Genomic DNA, 19,632 nt, shown 5'->3' with positions numbered 1-19,632 from the left:
TTAGCCGGACATGGTGGCACACCATCTGTAGTCCCAGCTACTCAGGAGGCTGAGGCAGGAGAATCTCTTGAACCTGGGAGGTGGAGGTTACAGTGAGCCGAGATTGTGCCACTGCACTCCAGCCTGGCAACAGAGCGAGACTCTCTTTTTTTTTTTTTTTCAGACGGAGTCTCGCTCTATTGCCCAGGCTGGAGTGCAGTGGCGTGATCTTGGCTCACTGCAAGCTCCACCTCCCGGGTTCACGCCATTCTCCTGCCTCAGCCTCCCGAGTAGCTGGGACTACAGGTGCCCGCCACCAGGCCCGGCTAATTTTTTCTATTTTTAGTAGAGACAGGGTTTCACCGTGTTAGCCAGGATGGTCTCGATCTCCTGACCTTGTGATCCGCCCGCCTCGGCCTCCCAAAGTGCTGGGATTACAGACCTGAGCCACCGCGCCCGGCCCAGAGCGAGACTATCTAAAAAAAAAAGGAAAGAAAGTGTTTAACAATCCTGGCTCATTAGTACATACCCAGTGTCAGCACCCTTTCCTTTGTGAATCTTGCTACTTCCACCTAAAATTTCTAAAACCTGAAATCGTAACTCTCGATTCATAGGAAAATATTACTGTTACCTTCAAGTTATTTTCTAATGTTACAGGACACTGTATGTTACAGGTTGGAAGAGCACTACTCTGCTTGCTTCTTTTTTCTAATTGAACATACTTTTCCTATAAGAAATTCTGGGCCGGGAGCGCTATCTCACACCTGTAATCCCAGCACTTTGGGAGGCCGAAGCGGATGGATCACCTGAGTTGAAGAGTTTGAGACCAGCCTGACCAACATGGAGAAACCCCGTCTCTACTAAAAACACAAAATTAGCCGGGCATGGTGGCACATGCCTGTAATTCCAGCTACTCGGGAGCCTGGGGTAGGAGAATCACTTGAACCCGGGAGGCGGCAGTTGCGGTGAGCTGAGATGGCGCCATTGCACTCCAGCCTGGGCAACAAGAGCAAAGCTCCGTTTCAAAAAAAAAAAACAAAAAACAAACAAAAAAAAAGAAATTCTGAAAAATCCTATTACTTCCTTAGAAATCTGGAAAAGAGGATGGATTTTCATTTGTTTTGGTATAGAAGCAGGGATTCCCATTCTGTGTGGGAAACTACACCCAGGTGATTTCTAAGCTTCTTTTCAGCTTGAGTTTTTTTCTTTTTTTTTAATTGTTAGAAAAAAGGTTTATTTAATGTTTTTTTTTTTTTTTTGAGACGGAGTCTCGCTCTGTTGCCCAGGCTGGAGTGTAGTGGCACTATCTCAGCTCACTGCAAGCTCCGCCTCTGGAGTGGCCGGGTTCACGCCATTCTCCTGCCTCAGCCTCCCGAGTAGCTGGGACTACAGGCACACACCACCACGCCCGGCTAATTTTTTTGTATTTTTTAGTACAGACGGGATTTCACCGTGTTAGCCAGGATGGTCTCAATCTCCTGACCTCATGATCCGCCCGCCTCGGCCCCCCAAAGTGCTGGGATTACAGGCATGAGCCATGGCGCCAGGCCTATTTAATGTTTTAAGGCACTCTGTATTACCTTTTTGCATTTCTTGAGAAAGACTGTCTAAAGAAAACCACCTGATAAATGATGAATAAATATTTTTAATGAATCTGTAGGAAAAAAGATTACTCTTAAAATGATCTACATTTGAAAAATTTCAATACATTCAATAACATAACTAAAGAACAGAGGCCAGGCACAGTGGCTCACGCCTATAATCCCAGCACTTTGGAAGGCTGAGATGGGCGGATCAAGAGGTCAGGAAATCGAGACCATCCTGGCTAACACGGTGAAACCTCATCTCTACTAAAACTACAAAAAATTAGCCAGGAGATCGAGACCATCCTGGATAACACGGTGAAACCCCATCTCTACTAAAACTACAAAAAATTAGCCAGGCGTGGTGGTGGGCACCTGTAGTCCCAGCTATTCAGGAGGCTGAGGCAGGAGAATGGCGTGAACCCAGGAGGCGGAGCTTGCAGTGAGCAGAGATCGAGCCACTGTACCCCAGCCTGGGCGACTGAGTGAAAAGAAAGAAAGGAGAGAGAGAAAGAGAGAGAAAGAAAAGAAAAGAAAGAGAGAGAGAAAGAAAGAAAGAAAGAAAGAAAGAAAGAAAGAAAGAAAGAAAGAAAGAAAGAAAGAAAGAAAGAAGGAAAGAAAGAAAAAGAAAAAAGAACACGAAAAGCTTGTAATATTGGCATTTACACTCAAGGCTAATGATATTTCAACTATAATGCTGAAAATAATAAGAATTTTAGTCACTGAATTAAACGTCAGGGATCCATCTGGGCGCCATGGCTCACGTCTGTAATCCCTGCACTTTGGGAGGCCGAGGCGGGTAGGTCATTTGAGGTCAGGAGTTCAAGACCAGCCTGGCCAACGTTGTGAAACCCCGTCGCTACTAAAACTATAAAAATTAGCCGGGTGTGGTGGTGGGTGCCTGTAATCCCAGCTACTTGGGAGGCTGAGGCAGGAGAATCACTTGAACCTGGGAAATGGAGGTTGCAGTGAGCTGAGATCACGCCACAGCACTCCAGCCTGGGCAACAGTGCGAGACTCAGTCTCAATAAATAAATAAATAAATAAATAAATAAATAAATAAATAAACGTCAGGGATCCTTAAATACCATAGTTAAAAGATACACCAAATAATGTGACATTCACCAGTCAAAAATACGTGCACTAGCTGCTCATGCCTCCCAGCAGTTTGGGAGGCTGTGGTGGGAGGATCACTTGAGCTCAGGAGTTCAAAATCAGACTGGGCAACATAAGAGACCCCTTCTCTACAAAAAAAAAAATTTTAATTAAAAAATGCACTAACAATCATTGATGAGACTTGTCTACAGATCTATTATTATCTTTTCAGAATACTCTGTCTTCAAAATCAAAATGAAAAAATATTTCAGAAGAATACACAGAAGAAATGCCATGATTAGGAAATCAGTCTTAAATACTAAACGAAAGAAACTGAAGAAGTTTTCATATTTACAGAGTTTAATTTTTTTCCTTTGCCTTCATTAAAAAAAAAAAAAAAAAGGCCTGGCACGGTGGCTCACGCCTGTAATCCCAGCACTTTGGGAGGCCAAGGCGGGCGGATCACGAGGTCAGGAGATCGAGACCATCCTGGCTAACCCAGTGAAACCCCGTCTCTACTAAAAATACAAAAAATTAGCCGGGCGTGGTGGCGGGAGCCCGTAGTCCCAGCTACTCAGGAGGCTGAGGCAGGAGAATGGCGTGAACGCGGGAGGCAGAGCTTGCAGAGAGCCGAGATCGCGCCACTGCACTCCAGCCTGGGCGACAGAGGGAGACTCCGTCTCAAAAAATAAAATAAAATACAAATAAAAATAAAAAAGGCCGGGCGCGGTGGCTCACGCCTGTAATCCCAGCACTCTGGGAGGCCAAGACGGGTGGATCACGAGGTCAGCAGATGGACACCATCCTGGCTAACACGGTGAAACCCCGTCTCTACTAAAAAAATATTTTAAAAAATTAGCCAGGTGTGTGGCAGGCGCCTGTAATCGCAGCTACTGAGGAGGCTGAGGCAGGAGAATGGCAAGCCCGGGAGGCGGAGCTTGCAGTGAGCTGAGATTGCGCCACTGCACTCCAGCCTGGGCACAGAGCGAAACTCTGTCTCAAAAAAAAAAAAAAAAAGAAAACAGGCCGGGTGCGGTGGCTCACGCCTGTAATCCCAGCACTTTCGGAGACCAAGGCCGGAGGATTATTTGAGGTCAGAAGTTCGAGACCAGCCTGACCAACATGGTGAAACCCCGTCTCTACTAAAATACAAAAATTAGCCAGCCGTAGTGGTGGGTGTCTATAATCTCAGCTACTCGGGAGGCTGAGGCAGGACAGTCACTTGAACCCAGGAGGCGGAGGTTGCAGCAAGCCAAGATCGCGCCACTGCACTCCAGCCTGGGCAACAGACCGAGACTCCCTCTGGAAAAAAATAAAAAGAAACAAAAAAAAAAAAAAGTTTTTTTTCCAATGAGGTTCTAGCAGGTTAGTAAAGTTATCTGCTGTGCAATGACAGCGATGGTCACTCACTAAAGAAACATTAAGTTTAGCATTTCTGTAATTATAATGACTCTTATTATTGCAACACACAGTAGCTATTTAATAAACACCATGAATTAATAGAACTAGAAACAAAAATTTAATAAAATTTCACTTATAGTAAGTTAATGCGGACAATGTAATTCTTTTAAGACTTGACACATTTCACATTCTTTGCCATAATACGTAAACTTTTTTTTTTTTTTTGAGTCGGAGTCTCGCTCTGTTGCCCAGGCTGGAGTGCAATGCAGCGATCTAGGCTCACTGCTACCTCCGCCTCCCAGGTTCAAGCCATTCTCCTGCCTCGGCCACCCGAGTAGCTGGGATTACAGGCGCCTGCCACCACGCCCGGCTGGCTTTTTAGTAGAGAAAGGGTTTCAACATGTTGGTCAGGCTGGTCTTGAACTCTTGACCTCGTGATCCGCCCGCCTCGGCCTCCCAAAGTGCTGGGATTTCAGACGTGAGCCACAGCGCCCGGCCAATACGGAAACTTTTAGTTTAGGTTGGGACATTAACTAGAAAGAACTATATATCACTAAAGACTAAGTATCTTGTTTTTCCCACCATCAAATCTGACAAAATTAAAAAGGAAAACATCCATCATATCTATTCAAATTCTCAAATGCTAATAACTGAAGAGACAAAGCACTAACGAGTAAAGTTAGAACAGAATATACGTAATACTTAACTAAATTACCAAATCTGGTTTCGCAACACTGCATGGTGACTAAAAGTAACAATTTTTTTTTCAGTTTAACATAAAACGTATTTTTATGCCCAACCATACTTTTAAGACGCTAGTCTGGAAACAATTACATTTGGCAACAAAGGTCAAAGATCACTGATATAGCTCAAATAAATGAACCTGACGTTCCACAAGAAAGACTGGGGCGGTTCCTGAGGCCCAGGTGGACTGTATAGGTAAGCCTCCACCCAAGAAACAAAAAAGGCGGATAAACATACCTGGAGAAGACCAGACAAGGCCAAAGATATCCCCAAAGATCACTCACCTCTGGTCTAGTCTCCACCTTTTCTCCCCAATCTCATTGCCTCAGGGAGAACTAAATCTACACCGCACGTCCCCAGCTCACCCTCAACTCCCCACCACTCACCTTCTTTACTAAAATCTGGGTCCCCCTCCCTGACATCCTCTAGTTCCCACCGAGTTCTCAGTCCAGCCCGATAGATGTCTACTATGCCTGTCTTCCAGTAGGGTATTAGTCTCCTTAATCCGAACTCATTTTTCCGCATCCCACTTCCCCTCCGCCCCTTCAACTCCGGTCCCCTCACTCCGACCCTTCTCCCAGAATCCTCCCCGAATCGCGGATCTCCGGCCACTTTTCCCTCCCACCTCCTAGCTCCGGCGCCCTTCACCTCGCTCGGCCCCCCATCCCGTTTCCCAGTCTCCCAGTACCAGCCCCCCTCCCCCAACTCCGCCCCTCTTCCCCCTCCCCCAGAGGGAGGCCCCCCTCACCTGAATGCCGCTGCTGCCGCCGTCTCAGAAGCCGAAAGGTGCTGGCACCGGCCGGCCTCCCAGGCTCGGTCCCCGCTGAGCTCCCGACAGCCCCTAGGGAGAGCGAACGCCACCACCTCCAACTCTGCCCGCTCCGGGCCAGGCCGTCACCGTAGCCACCGCCAGTGCCGCAGCCGCCATGTTGAAGTCCTACTTCCCTCCTCCTTCCCCTCACCGCCCCACTCATTTGGGCGTCTGACGTCATGGCGCCGCGCTCCACACGCCCGGACCAATGGGAGGAGCCGACGGTGACATAACTAATCTCTCTTCTAGCGAGGAGCTACTCCGGCAACATGGAGCATTGCAATTGGAATGAGTAAACCCTGCTGACCTAAGGGGGAAGGAGGAAAGGAGGGGGTCACTAAGAGTGTAAGACTTGGGTTTGGCGAGGCGGCCAAAGCGGGAAACCCAAGAGCCTTGAATCGCGAAGGTATGCCCAAAGAGTTAGCAGCGAGTCCTATTTGGGAATTAAGACATCTAGCTTCTGTTCAGGGTCAGCGACCTGGTACAACTCATACCCTTTCTGGACCTCACTTTTCCCATGTATAGAGGACTAAGTTGAAAGGTGACTTCTAGGCCGGGCGCAGTGGCTCACGCCTGTAACTCCAGCACTTTGAGAGGCCGAGGCAGGAGGGTCGCTTGAGCCCGGGAGGTCGAGGCTGCGGTAGCCGTGATCGCGCCACTGCACTCCAGGTGGGCAACGGAACGCGACTCTGTATCAAAAGAAAAAAAAACAAAGGTGACCTCTAAGTCTTCCTTCAATTCTGACATTCTATGGGTTTAAACCAGGTAATCCTATCCCAAGCCTTCACTGCCTTCTGTGGGGGTTTTTGTTGTTGTTGTTGTTTCTGTTTGGGGTGTTTTTTGTTTTTTTGAGACAGGGTCTCGCTCTGTCGCCTAGGCTGGAGTGCAGTGGCGCGATGTTGGCGCACTGCAACCCTGCAACCTCCACCTGTCGGGCTCAAGTGATCCTCCCACCTCAGCCTTCTGAGTAGCTTGGACTATAGCCACATGCCAACACGCCCGGATAATTTTTATTATTTTATATATATATATGGAGAGACGGGGTCTCACCATGTTGCCCAGGCTGGTGGTAAACTTCTGGGCTCAAGCCTCAGTCTCCCAAATTGCTGGGATTGTAGGCGTGAGCCATGGCGCTGGCCTTCTGTGTCTTTCTATGTCTGCTGGAATTAGGAGACAGAGAATTATTAATTGAATAAGATGACTCTTGAGCCCAGGAGTTCAAGACCAATTTAAGCAACATGAGACCCCCGTCTCTACAAAAAGTTTGGTAAAAATTAGGTGAGCCTGGGCAACATAGTGAGACCTTGTCTCTACAAAAACTCAAATTATCTGGGCGTGGTGGCATGTGCCTGTGGTCCTAACTATTCAGGAGGCTGAGATAGGAGGATCACTTGAGCCTGAGAGGTCGAGGCTACAGTGAGCCAGGATTGTGCTGGTGTACTCCAAACATGGGTGACAGAGCAAGATCTTGTCGCAATAAAATAAAATAAAATAAAATGACTAGGCACGATGGCTAACGCCTGTAATCCCAGCACTTTGGGAGGCCAAGATGGTCAGATCTCTTGAGCTCAGGAGTTTGAGACCAGCCTGGGCAACGTGGAGAATCTTCATCTCTAACAACAACAAAAAACAGTTGGGCATGGTGGTACACGACTGTAGTCCCAGCTATTGGGTTCTGCAAATGAGACCCTGTCTAAAAATAAAATAAAATTGTAAAAAATTAGCCAGACATGGTTGTACACATCTGTGGTCCCAGCTAGTCAGGAGGCTGAGGTGAGAAAATGGCCTCAGCCTGGGAGGTTAAGGCTGCTGTGAGCAATGATCATGCCATTGCACTCTAGCCTGGGCAACAGAGCAAGACTCTGTCTCAAAAAAAAAAAAAAAAAAAAAACAAGGTCGGGTGTGGTGGCTCACGCCTGTAATCCCAGAACTCTGGGAGGCTGAGGCAGGCAGATCATCTGAGGTCAGGAGTTTAAGACCAGCCTACCCAACATGGTGAAACCCCATCTCTACTAAAAATACAAAATAAAAATTAGCTAGGTGGGCGCCTGTAATCCCAGCTATGTGGGAGGCTGAGGCATGAGAATCGCTTGAACCCAAGAGGAGGAGGTTACAGTGAGCGAGATCAAGCCACTGCACTCCAGCCTGGGTGACAAAGCCAGACCCTGTCTCAAAAAAAAAAAAAAAAAAAAAAGTCTGGGCGCAGTGGCTCATGCCTATAATCCCAGGACTTTGGGAGGCCAAGGCAGGTGGATAACCTGAGGTGAGGAGTTCGAGAGCAGCCTGGCCAACATGGTGAAACCCCATCTCTACTAAAAATTCAAAAATTAGCTGGGCGTGATGGTGGCAGCTGTAATCCTAGCTATTCAAGAGGCTGAGGCAGAAGAATCACTTGAACCTGGGAGGTGGAGGTTGCAGTGAGGTGAGGTTGCGCCACGTCACTCCAGCCTAGGTGACAGAGCAACACTCTGTCTCAGAAAAAAAAAAAAGGCCAGGCACAGTGGCTCATGCCTGTAATCCCAGCACTTTGGGAGGCCGAGGCGGGCAGATCACATGAGGTCAGGAGTTCAAGACCAGCCTGACCAGCATGGAGAAACCCCGTCTCTACTAAAAATACAAAAAAAATTAGCTAGGTGTGGTGGCAAATGCCTGTAATCCCAGCTACTTGGGAGGCTGAGGCAGGAGAATTGCTTGAGCCCAGGAGGCAGAGATTGCGGTTAGCTGAGATCACACCATTGCACTCCAGCCTGGGCAACGAGAGCAAAACTCCATTCAAAAAAAAAAAAAAAAAAAAAAGAAATGGAAAAGAAGTGGAGGCATTTACCTAGAAAAACAAATACCTCTTAACCTTCCTAGGAGTGATTCATACTTGTCAGTTTCTAGGTGTGAATCCCAGTGTTGACTCACCTGGGGCCAGAAGAGGCTGAATAGGATGCCAGTCCTCTGTTTCCCCTACCCTGTATCTTTCCCTCTCAGTGCACGTAGACAGTGGCCAGCATACCTGCTGGCCTGCCAACAGCAATAGAGAAAAAAGGGGCACCAACCTGCACCCTCCCTCTTTCTGTCTTCTTTCTCCCTCCCTTTATACACCAGGCATTTACAATGTCTAAGAACAGAGACAGAAAAGACAGACAACCACCTCTACAATATTTCATTCATTTAGCCATCCAGTACTAATTAAGTCCTACCATGTGCCAGGCACCACAAGTCTGCAAAGATGCTCTCAAGGCAGCCCAGTGAGGGAAGCAGATAAGTGTCCAGATAATGATGGCACCTGACAGAAAATAAACTGAGTCCGGCCGGGCGTGGTGGATCACACCTGTAATCCCAGCACTTTGGGAGGCTGAGGCAGGCGTATCATGAGGTCAGGAGATCGAGACCATCCTGGCTAACACGGTGAAACCCGTTTCTACTAAAAATACAAAAAGTTAGCCAGGTGTGGTAGCACACACCTGTAGTCCCAGCTACTTGGGAGGCTGAGGCAGGAGAATCGCTTGAACCCGGGAGGCGGAGGTTGCAGTGAGCAGAGATCACGCCACTGCACTCCAGCCTGGGTGACAGAGCAACACTCTGTCTCAAAAAAAAAAAATAAAGAAAGAAAATAAACTGAGTCCTTTAAGTAGCACAATCCATGCCTGAGGAGTAGAGAGGAGAGGGAATTCAGGTACACTTGAGAAATTCGGAGATTTCATGGCAAATTGAAGCATTTAAGTTAGGCCTTAAAGGCCAGATAGAATGAAGGGTGCCTAAAGTAGTCTGGGCAAAGGCATGGATGCAAGAAATTTCCAGGAATGTTCAGGATCAGTAAGTAGAGCAAAGGGTATATGTAGAGGAGCAGAAGGTGGTAAGTTTGGAGAAACCAGGAAGGAAGAGGCTTGGCTTGGGTTTAACCGTTCTAAGTCTGTAAGAAAAAGTCACTGGCATCCTTGGCAAAGACATCTTTTCTCCTGGGAAAATCAAGGGAAAAGTTAGGATGAATCCTTAGAACCTTGAAGATCAGATTGAAACCTTTTGCCCTTCCCCAGAAACTCATAGTTACAACGAAGGACTCAGATATCTGGGTAACCTCTGAGGCTTCTCTCAATTCTAAGAACGATGTGATGACCATCATATAAAGATGCAATTATCCTGATGACCATGATATAGATAATTTTCCATTCCACCAGATGAATACACAAACACAAAAAGGTACAATAAAATATTAAAAGAGAATATAGAAGAATATTTTCTGAGTTATGGGATGGAAAGAACTTGTCTAATCATAACACCAAATGCAGAAGCCATGAAGGAAATAGTTGACAGATTTGATGATGGCAAAAGACCCCAAACACAAAGTGAAAAGATAAACTGGAAGAAAATATTTGTAACCTATATAACAGAAAAAGTTAGTTTTCCCAGTATACAAATAATTTTACAAATCAGTGTGAAAAATGGAATGATTCAATTAAAAAAAAGTGTGTATAGTTTGCAAGAGGCAATTAGCCAAAGAAGAAATACAAATAGCTAGTGAACGTATGAGAAAATGGTCAATATCACTGATAATTTTTTTTTTTTTTTGAGACAGAGTCTCACTTTGTCGCCCAGGCTGGAGTGCAAAGGCACAATCTCGGCTCACTACAACCTCTGCCTCCTGGGTTCAAGCGATTCTCCTGCCTCAGCCTCCTGAATAGCTGGGATTACAGGCATGCACCACCACATTCGGCTAGTTTTTGTATTTTTAGTAGAGATGGGGTTTCACCATGTTGTTCAGGCTGGTCTCAAACTCCCGACCTCATGATCCTCCCCACCTCGGCCTCCTAAAGTGCTGGGATTACAGGCGTGAGCCACCGCACCGGGCTGATAATGTTTAAAAATGAAACAAGGCTCTAATTTTTACCTAACAAATTGGCAAAAGCTGAAAAGATCAAGTATATCCAATGCTGGGTCTGATGCAGTGGCTCATGCCTATAATCTCAGCACTTTGGGAGGCTGAGGCGGGAGTGAGGCCAGGAGTTTGAGTCCATCCTGGGCAACAGGCCTTGTTCTGTCACCCAGGCTGGAGTGCAGTGGTGCAATCATAGATCACTGCAGCTTCGAACTTCTGGACTTAAGGGATCGTCCCGCCTCAGCCTCCCGGATAGCTGGGACTGGCAGGTACATGCCACCATACCTGGCTAATTTTTATTTTATTTTATTTTATTTAAGTTTTGTTTGTTTGTGTTGTTTTCTTTTGAAATGTAGTCTCGCTCTGTCATCCAGGCTGGAGTGCAGTGACACAATCTCGGCTCACTGCAACCTCTGCCTCCCGGGTTCAAATGATTCCCCTGCCTCAGGCTTCCAAGTAGCTGGGATTACAGGCATGTGCCACCATGCACCGCTTTTTTTTTATATTTTTGGTAGAGATGGGATTTCTCCATGTTGGCTAGGCTGGTCTTGAACTCCTGGCCTCAAGTGATCCACCTCCCACCCCTCCTGAAGTGCTGAGATTATAGGTATGAGCCAGCGCACCCAGCTTGTGGTTTTTTTTTTTTTTTTTGAGACAGGGTTTCAGTCTTCTGTCACCCAGGCTGGAGTGCAGTGGCGTGATCTCAGCTCACTGCAACCTCTGCCTCCCAGGCTCAAGAGATCCTCCCACCTCCATCTCCAGAGTAGCTGGGACCACAAGCACATACCACCATGCCTGACCAATTTTGTGTATTTTTGGTAGAGACAGGGTTTCACCATGTTGCCCAGGCTGGTCTCAAACTCCTGAGCTCAAGCAATCTGCCAGCCTCGGCTTACCAAAGTGCTAAGACTATGGGCATGAGCCATGGCACCCAGCCATTTTTTTTTCTTTTTTGTAGAGTCAGGATCTCGCTATATTGACCAGGCTGGTCTCAAACTCTTGGCCCCAAGTGATCCTGCTGCCGTGGCCTCCCAAAGTGCTGGAATTCCATGCACGAGCTACCATGCTCAGCCCCCCATCTTAATTGATTAAAAAAAATTATTTAATAAAAAAGTATATCCAGCCGGGCATGGTGGCTCACACCTGTAATCCCAGCACTTTGGGAGGCCAAGGCGGGTGGACCACCTGAGGTTGGGAGTTCGAGATCAGCCTGGCCAACATGGCAAAATCCTGTGTCTACTAAAAATACAAAAATTAGCCGGCGTAGTGGTGTGCACCTGTAATCCCAGCATTTGGGAGGCTGAGGCAGGAGAATCGCTTGAACCCAGGAGGCAGAGGTTGCAGTGAGCCAAGATAGCACCACTGCACTCCAGCCTGGGCGACAGAGCAAGACTTTGTCTCAAAAAAATAAATAAATAAAGTGTATCCAATGGTGCATAGATGGATAAACTTTTTTTTTTTTTTTTTTAAAGAAACAGTCTCTCTATGGTGCACAGGCTGGTCTCAAGCTCCTGGTCTCAAGCAATCCTCCCACCTTGACCTCCCAAAGTGCTGGGATTAGGCATGAGCCACCGTGTCTAGCAAAATAAGCATTCTCATACACTGCTGACAACAGTATAAATTGGTAGAATCTTTTCGTGGAGCAATTTGGCAGTAACTATCGCAGTTACAGCAGTATATTGTGGAGTAAAAAGCAAGTTGCAGAATAATGCATATGGTATTTATTTTTGCAAAAAAAAAATGTGTAGAGATAATCTATATATGTGTGTATGTATATATATGTGTATATATGTGTGTATATATATGTGTGTGTGTATATGTGTATATATATGTGTGTGTATATATAAGCATGGATGAAAAACTGAAAGGACACACACTAAATTATTATTTGTGGCTGTGGAGGAAATAGGATTTGGCTGGAGTGGGGCGGGCAGCAGAACTTGGGACTAAAGAAGGAGGGGCGGCCAGGCGCAGTGGCTCACGCCTGTAATTCCAGCACTTTGGGAGGCTGACTTTGGGAGGCCGACTTTGGGAGGCCAAGGTGGGCAGATCACTTGAGGTCAGGAGTTCGAGACCAGCTTGGCCAAAACCCGTCTCTACCAAAAATACAAAAAAAAAAAAAATTAGCCAGGCCTGGTGGCGCGCACCTCTAATCCCAGCTACTCAGGAGGCTGAGACAGGAGAAAAGCTTGAACCCGGGAGATGAAAGTTGCAGTAAGCTGAGATCATGCTGCTGCACTCCAGCCTGGGCGACAGAGCGACACTCTGTCTCAAAAAAAAAAAAAAAAAAAAAAAGGAGAAGAAGAAGGGGAAGTGGAAACCACACAGAAGCGATGCAGCCACTGCTGGGAAATGCCCCATAGCCGGAAGAGGAAGAACTGCCCTGGCTTCTTCTTCCTCTCACCTCCAGTCTTCTTCCAGTGCCTCCCATTGGCTGAATATAGCTAGTATGTGGTTGTCAAAGAAGCTGGGAAATGTAGTTTTCAGAAGAAGAACAGAGAATGAGTCCGAGAACAAAGATGCAATGACCAGCCTCTAAAAAGTGATTTGCTAGGCTAGGTGCAGTGGCTCACGCCTGTAATCCCAGCACTTTGGGAGGCTGAGGTGGGAGGATCACGAGGTCAGGAGATCGAGACCATCCTGGCTAACACAGTGAAACCCCGTCTCTACTAAAAATACAAAAAATTAGCCAGGAGCGGTGGTGGGTGCCTGTAGTCCCAGCTACTTGGGAGGCTGAGGCAGGAGAATGGTGCCAACCCGGGAGGCAGAGCTTGCAGTGAGCCAAGATCATGCCACTTCATCCCAACCTGGGCGACAGCGAGACTCTGTCTCAAAAAAAAATAAAAAAATAAAAATAATTTGGTAGTTCAAAGACTTAATGAAAGGGGCCAGGTGTGGTGGCTCACACCTGTAATCCTAGCACTTTGGGAGGCCAAGATAGGTGGATCACCTGAGGTCAGGAGTTTGAGACCAGCCTGGCCAACATGGTGAAACCCCATCTCTACTAAAAATACAAAAAAATTAGCTGGGCGTGGTGGTGCATGCCTGTAGTCCCAGCTACTTGGGAGACTGAGGCAGGAGAATTGCTTGAACCCAAGAGACAGAGGTTGCAGTGGGCTGAGATCATGCCACTACACTCCAGCCTGGGCAACAGAGCGAGACTCAAAAAAAAAAAAAAAGAATAAGAGAGATGGAGAACCAGATACGAAAAGCAGGAGAAAATTTAGAGAAAAAAAAAAAAAAACACAGCAGGAAGCATAGCAAAAAGTTATCTTGTAAAATAGTAAAAGATAATTTTATTAAGCTTTTTAAAATGGGGTTAGTAGACTGTTGTGGCAGTGGGCCAGAAGACCTCTGTGCATAGTAATTCATTCAGCTAATTAATGTACTTAGGTCTACTATACACCAAGCTCTGTGCTGCAGTGGGAGCAAAGGTTAAACAAGACCAGGCTTCAGCCATCAAAACTCTCAGGAGGAAGACAAACTTGTAAGACACACAATTACAATAGAGTTAAATCATATCAGTGAGCTCAGGGACAAGGCCTGCCACTAGGCTAAACTGTACCTTTGTGCATGATAGGAAAAGGCACCCTCCCTAAGAGGTTGCAGTGCCAGGATATACAGCTTGGCAAGCTGAGTGCAGCTGGATTTCAGTCCTCCCTGGTCCCTGAGCCAGGCACTTTTGTACAGAGTATAAAGGACACATCCATACTTGGCTTTCTTGCTTGAGGAGGAAGAGACTGGCACCTATGGAAGGAGGGTAGAATCATCCTTTGAGGATGTGCATCTGTGCAGCAGGAAGCCCTAGGACACCAGTTTCCTAGCCCAGAACATCATGGGAAACTTCAGTGGCTTCAGTTGCTTCTGGAGCTGCTGTGACAAGGAGTTGGCAAAGGAAACTCCCAGAAATTTGGAAAGGCTCCTTTGGAAGGAAAAATTGACAGATGGTGTTTATAGTTTTGCTTTGGTTCTCCTATCGGAGTGAATCCCAGATGTTTTCTTCCATTTCCAAGATAGTGTTAGATTGAAAAGGCTCCTTTGCCCAAAAATAATGAAATGTCAGTATACACAGTTAAGTGTGGGCACATGGACAAGTGAATCCTGTGCCAGGTCAGCAAAGTGTGATTTGCTGCTGTGTGAATCCAAGGTTTGGAGTTACCATTCTAGATTTCTCTTTTTATTTGTATTTATTTTTTGAGATAGGGTCGTGTTCTGTCACCCAGGCTGGAGTGCAGTGGCATGATCACAGCTCACTGCAGCCTTAACCTCCTGCCCTTAAGCAATTCTCCTGCCTTAGCATCCCAAATAGCTGGAACTACAGACATGTGCTGCCACATCCAGCTAATTAAAAAATAATGATAATAATAATTCTGGCCAGGCGCAGTGGCTCACGCCTGTAATCCCAGCACTTTGGAAGGCCGAGTAGGGTGGATCACCTGATGTCAGGAGTTCGAGACCAGCCTGACCAACGTGGAGAAACCCTATCTCTACTAAAAATACAAAATTAGCTGGGCGTGGTGGCACATGCCTGTAATCCCAGCTACTGGGGAGGCCGAGGCAGGAGAATCGCCTGAACCCAGGAGGCAGAGGTTGCAGTGAGCCGAGATCACGCCATTGCACTCCAGCCTGGGCAACAAGAGCGAAACAAACAAAAAAAATTGTGAAGATGAAGTCTCATTATGTTGCCTTACTTGAGTTTTCTTAAAAACATTTTTTTACACAAAACACATGAATTCTTTCCCATTGTAAATGATTCAGACACTAGAAAGTGTATTTTAGATCCAGGTGCAGTGGCTCACACCTGTAATCCCAGCACCTTGGGAAGCCAAGGCAGGCAGATTACTTGACACAGGAGTTCGAGACCAGCCTGAGCAATATAGTAAGATTCCCGACTCTACAAAAATACAAAAAATTAGCCGGGCATGGTTACACATACCTGTAGTCCCAGCTACTCGGGAAGCTGAGGTGGGAGAATCGGTTGAGCCCAGGAGGTCGAGGCTGCAGTGAGCTGGGATCACACTACTGCACTTTAACCTGGGCAACAGAGTGACACTCTGTCTCAAAAAAAAAAAGGAAGAGAAAAAAAAAGAAAGTGTATTTTAGGGATGTTGTGGTGTGTGTGGTGTGCTCCTCAGATCTCTCCTCTTCTGAACTGCTGAAACCCTTACTCTCCCAGCTGCTGGGAATGTTAAGGGCTGTCAGCTGGCAGTTAAGCACCCCACACAACCCTGCCGTGCGCGGTAGCTCGCACCTGTAATCCCAGCACTTTGGGAGGCCGAGGCAGGCAGATCACCTGAGGTCGGGAGTTTGAGACCAGCCTGACCAAAATGGAGAAACCCCATCTCTACAAAAAAATACAAAATTAGGCCAGGCGCGGTGGCTCATGCCTGTAATCCCAGCACTTTGGGAGGCTGAGGCGGGCGAATCACCTGAGGTCAGGAGCTGGAGAGCAGCATGGCCAACATGGTGAAACCCCGTCTCCACAAAATATACAGAAAAATTAGCCAGGCGTGGTGGTGGGCGCCTGTAATCCCAGCTACTCGGGAGCCTGAGGTAGGAGAATCGCTTGAACCCGCAAGGCAGAGGTTGCAGTGAGGCAAGATTGCGCCATTGCACTCCAGCCTGGGCAACAAGAGTGAAACTCTGTCTCAAAAAAAAAAAAAAAAAAAAAAAAGGCCCGGCACAGTGACTCACACCTGTAATCCCAGCACTTTGGGAGGCCAAGGCAGGTGGATCACGAGGTCAGGAGATCGAGACCATCGTGGCTAACACAGTGAAACCCCGTCTCTACTAAAACTACAAAAAATTAGCCGGGCGCAGTGGCGGGCGCCTGTAGTCCCAGCTACTCAGGAGGCTGAGGCAGGAGAATGGCTGAACCCGGGAGGCAGAGCTTGCAGTGAGCCGAGATCGCGCCACTGCACTCCGGCCTGGGCAAAAGAGCAAGACTCCATCTCAAAAAAAAAAAAAAAAAAAAGCACCCCACACAACCTTGGCTGAGAAGAGCTGCCTCATTTAAAGTCATGCCCATGGTAACCCACATTCAAAGACTGATTAGTACAGGGTTATAAAGACCCCGTTACCCTGGCCCCAGTGAGGGAAAGTTTTACAGGGCTATCTTAGGTCCAGTGCTCTGCATGGAATTGACTGAGACTTTTTTGTGAATGCCCTGCAACCTAACCTTGCTTCTTTCACTCTCCCAAGGATGGTGATCCTAAAAGCACTCTTCAGTAAACTTTCTGGATTCAAATCTCTGCTTCTCTGCTTCCTGGGGAACCCAATTTACAATAATTGGTACCAGGAGTGATCCAAGAAAGTAAACCCTAAAATGAAATTTGGGAGTCACTCAGCAGTCGGTTGACAATGAGGATATCATCACTAGTGATAGGTGAAACACTGTTAGCCCCTAGCATGTGATAGTAATACAGTTGTTAAAAATTTCAGCAGTGGTTAATGGAGATGTTTTACCCAAGGAAAGAATACATGGGAGGGTGGAGGAACACATGTATTAGGCATTTGAGAAGTAATAGGATGTTTGTTGTTGGGGATAATAGATCCTTTGAAGAAAGACAATGAAGATTAAGTGTGAAAGTCGAAGGGCCTTCTTGGCAGTATATAAAGATACTATCATCTCCTACAGCCAAAGGGCAGAAAAACCTGAGGATCAGACCTAAAACATAATTATAAAATTTGCAGAGCTCTAGAGAGGTTGAATTCTCAGCCCTGAAAGGTTAGCTACCAAGGTTAGAGTCCTGACTGAGAAAGAGCAAAAATGGGAGGCCAGGCATGGTGGCTCATGCCTGTAATCCTAGCACTTTGGGAGGCCAAAGCTGGAGAATCACTTGAGCCCAAGAGTTCAAGACTAGCCTGAGCAACATGGTGAAACCCTGTCTTTACAAAAAATTACCAGGGCATGGTGGCATGCACGTGTGGTTCCAGCTACCTGGGAGACTAAGGTGGGAGGACTGATTCAGCCCAGGAGGTCAAGGCTGCAGTGAGCCTCAATCACTCCACTGCACTCCAGCATGGGTGACAGAGTGGGACCCTGTCTCAAAAGAAAGAAAGAAGAAGATGGGAGACATGGGATGGCAATATCTGGGTCGACATACTTGAACAATCATTAACTTCCAGTCTTTCCTGTACCTCTGGGCCTTCGCAAGTGGCCGGATGTAGTTTAGATATTTGTCCCCACCCAAATCTCATGTTGAATTGTAATCCCCAATGCTGGAGGAGGGGCCTGCTGGGAGGTGTTTGTATCATGAGGGTGGATCCCTCATGGCTTGGTGGGTGCAGTCTTCGTGATAGTGAGTTCTCATGAGAGCTGGTCATTTAAAAGTGTGTGCACCTCGCCGCCACTTTCTCTTTCTCTTGTTTCCATTCTAGCCATGTGATGTCCCTGCTCCCCCTTTGCCTTATGCCATGATTGGAAGCTTCCTGAGGCCTCCCCAGAACAGATGCTGCTATGCTTCCTGTACAGCCTGCATAACCATGAGCCATTAAACATCTTTTTTTTTTTTTTTTTTTGAGATGGAGTCTCGCTCTGTCACCCAGGCTGGAGTGCAGTGGTGCAATCTCGATTCACTGCAAGCTCCACCTCCTGGGTTCACACCATTCTCCTGCCTCAGCCTCCCAAGTAGCTGGGACTACAGGCTCCCGCCACCAGGCCCGGCTAATTTTTTGTATTTTTAGTAGAGGCGGGGTTTCACCATGTTAGCCAGGATGGTCTCGATCTCCTGACCTCGTGATCCACCCACCTCGGCCGCCCAAAGTGCTGGGATTACAGGCATGAGCCACCATGCCCGGCCTAAACATCTTTTCTTGTAAATTATTCAGTGTCAGGTATTTCTTTTTTTTTTTTAAGTTCAGGGGTACATGCGCTGGATATGCAGGTTTGTTACATAGATAAACGTGTGCTGTGGTGGTTTGCTGCACAGATCATCCTATCACCTAGGTATTAAGCCCAGCATCCATTAGCTATTCTTCGTGATGCTCTCCCTCCTCCCTGCCAGGTATTTCTTTAGAGCAGCGCAAGAAGGACCCAACACATTGCCCATTCCTCTTTGTTAAAGCTTAGCATTCCTCCTTGCTTGAAGACAATGTAAAAATACCTGCCTTACAAGACAGGTGCCTGTTTACCTGGGCATGGTGGTGTGCACCTGTAATCCCAGCTACTCAGGAGGCAGAAGCCGGATAATCACTTGAACATGGGAGGTCGAGGCTGTAGTGAGCCGAAATTGCGCCACTGCACTCCAGCCTGGGTGACAGAGCAAGATCCTGTCTCAAAAAAAAAAAAAAAAAAAAAAAGATAGGTGCCTTGCCATCTGGATCTACTTTAAAGTCCCAACCTAATCATTGGACCAATAACTAAAATTAAATAACAACATGAATGACCAGGACATGCCGAAGGAGGAAAGAGACTATAGCTAAAGGAGCTGTAGAACATAACCAATATGTACTGACAAATGGCAGGAGAATATTCATGGGACTGGATTCTGAGGATTCCAATTCTCAACCAAAATAGGGAGAGGTTATCAACTTGGAACACAGGATTTAACACCCTGACAAGGACCCTGAGAAATAGTGCTAACATATTCTTAGGATGGGTCTTATGAGCTTAGAGAAAGTGATGGGCTGTAATAAATAAATAGAAATATCAGACCGGGCAGCTCATACCTCTAATACCAGCTCTTTGGGAAGCTAAGGTGGGTGGATCACTTGAGGAGTTTGAGACCAGCCTGGCCAACATGGTGAAACCCCATCTCTACTAAAAATACAAAAATTAGGCTGGGCGCGGTGGCTCACGCCTGTAATCCCAGCACTTTGGGAGGCCGAGGTGGGTGGATCAAGAGGTCAGGAGATTGAGACTATCCTGGCTGACACGGTGAAACCTCACCTCTACTAAAAATACAGAAAATTAGCCGGGCGCCGTGGCAGGTGCCTGTAGTCCCAGCTACTCGGGAGGCTGAGGCAGGAGAATGGCGTGGACCCGGGAAGCAGAGCTTGCAATGAGCCAAGATCGCGCCACTGCACTCTGTCTGCCTAGGCGACAGAGCGAAACTCTGTCTCAAAAAAAAAAAAAAAAAAACAAACAAATAAAAATACAAAAATTAGACCGAGCGTGGTGGCTTATGCCTCTTATCCCAGCGCTTTGGGAGGCT

At 46.9% G+C, this 19,632-nt stretch overlaps 1 protein-coding gene across 8 annotated transcripts in view, besides 7 other annotated features; it reads right to left on the bottom strand.

Annotated features, from left to right (window-relative positions):
* UBAP1 (ubiquitin associated protein 1) overlaps positions 1–5,786 on the bottom strand; it is a 73,519-nt gene extending 67,733 nt beyond the window's left edge. For 4 of the 8 annotated variants that reach the window (NR_033243.3, NM_001171204.3, NM_001171203.3 and 1 more), the window contains exon 1: positions 5,551–5,748. Coding sequence is in view for 3 of the 8 variants with exons in the window: in NM_001171202.1 (NP_001164673.1) it covers positions 5,551–5,776 (226 nt within the window). In the remaining 5 variants the exon portion in view is untranslated. Of the gene's footprint in view, positions 1–5,188; positions 5,343–5,550 lie in introns of those variants that run through there. The other 4 variants (NM_001171202.1, NM_001171201.1, XM_011517898.2 and 1 more) reach the window with 3 other exon arrangements.
* Positions 3,826–4,783: an enhancer, noted in NCBI's record as "H3K27ac-H3K4me1 hESC enhancer chr9:34180006-34180963 (GRCh37/hg19 assembly coordinates)". NCBI's record gives its function as "activates a minimal SCP1, AML or CMV promoter by ChIP-STARR-seq in primed H9 embryonic stem cells {active_cell/tissue: H9 hESC(primed)}" and the evidence as "EXISTENCE:reporter gene assay evidence [ECO:0000049][PMID:30033119]".
* Positions 4,784–5,740: an enhancer, noted in NCBI's record as "H3K27ac-H3K4me1 hESC enhancer chr9:34179049-34180005 (GRCh37/hg19 assembly coordinates)". NCBI's record gives its function as "activates a minimal SCP1, AML or CMV promoter by ChIP-STARR-seq in naive and primed H9 embryonic stem cells {active_cell/tissue: H9 hESC(naive and primed)}" and the evidence as "EXISTENCE:reporter gene assay evidence [ECO:0000049][PMID:30033119]".
* Positions 4,784–6,699: a biological region, named in NCBI's record as "hESC enhancers GRCh37_chr9:34178090-34179048 and GRCh37_chr9:34179049-34180005".
* Positions 5,506–5,935: an enhancer, noted in NCBI's record as "active region_28305". NCBI's record gives its function as "activates an Ori minimal core promoter by ATAC-STARR-seq in GM12878 lymphoblastoid cells {active_cell/tissue: GM12878}" and the evidence as "EXISTENCE:reporter gene assay evidence [ECO:0000049][PMID:35858748]".
* Positions 5,741–6,699: an enhancer, noted in NCBI's record as "H3K27ac hESC enhancer chr9:34178090-34179048 (GRCh37/hg19 assembly coordinates)". NCBI's record gives its function as "activates a minimal SCP1, AML or CMV promoter by ChIP-STARR-seq in naive H9 embryonic stem cells {active_cell/tissue: H9 hESC(naive)}" and the evidence as "EXISTENCE:reporter gene assay evidence [ECO:0000049][PMID:30033119]".
* Positions 8,386–8,680: a silencer, noted in NCBI's record as "tiled region #9718; HepG2 Repressive non-DNase unmatched - State 23:Low". NCBI's record gives its function as "represses a minimal TATA promoter and a strong SV40 promoter by Sharpr-MPRA in HepG2 cells {active_cell/tissue: HepG2}" and the evidence as "EXISTENCE:reporter gene assay evidence [ECO:0000049][PMID:27701403]".
* Positions 15,080–15,722: an enhancer, noted in NCBI's record as "H3K27ac-H3K4me1 hESC enhancer chr9:34169067-34169709 (GRCh37/hg19 assembly coordinates)". NCBI's record gives its function as "activates a minimal SCP1, AML or CMV promoter by ChIP-STARR-seq in naive H9 embryonic stem cells {active_cell/tissue: H9 hESC(naive)}" and the evidence as "EXISTENCE:reporter gene assay evidence [ECO:0000049][PMID:30033119]".

The sequence above is a fragment of the Homo sapiens genome, chromosome 9 (genome assembly GCF_000001405.40).
Source record: "Homo sapiens chromosome 9, GRCh38.p14 Primary Assembly".
Classification (NCBI taxonomy): Eukaryota; Metazoa; Chordata; class Mammalia; order Primates; family Hominidae; genus Homo; species Homo sapiens.
Note: the sequence above shows the minus strand (reverse complement) of the source record. Positions and strands in the feature narration are given on the sequence as shown.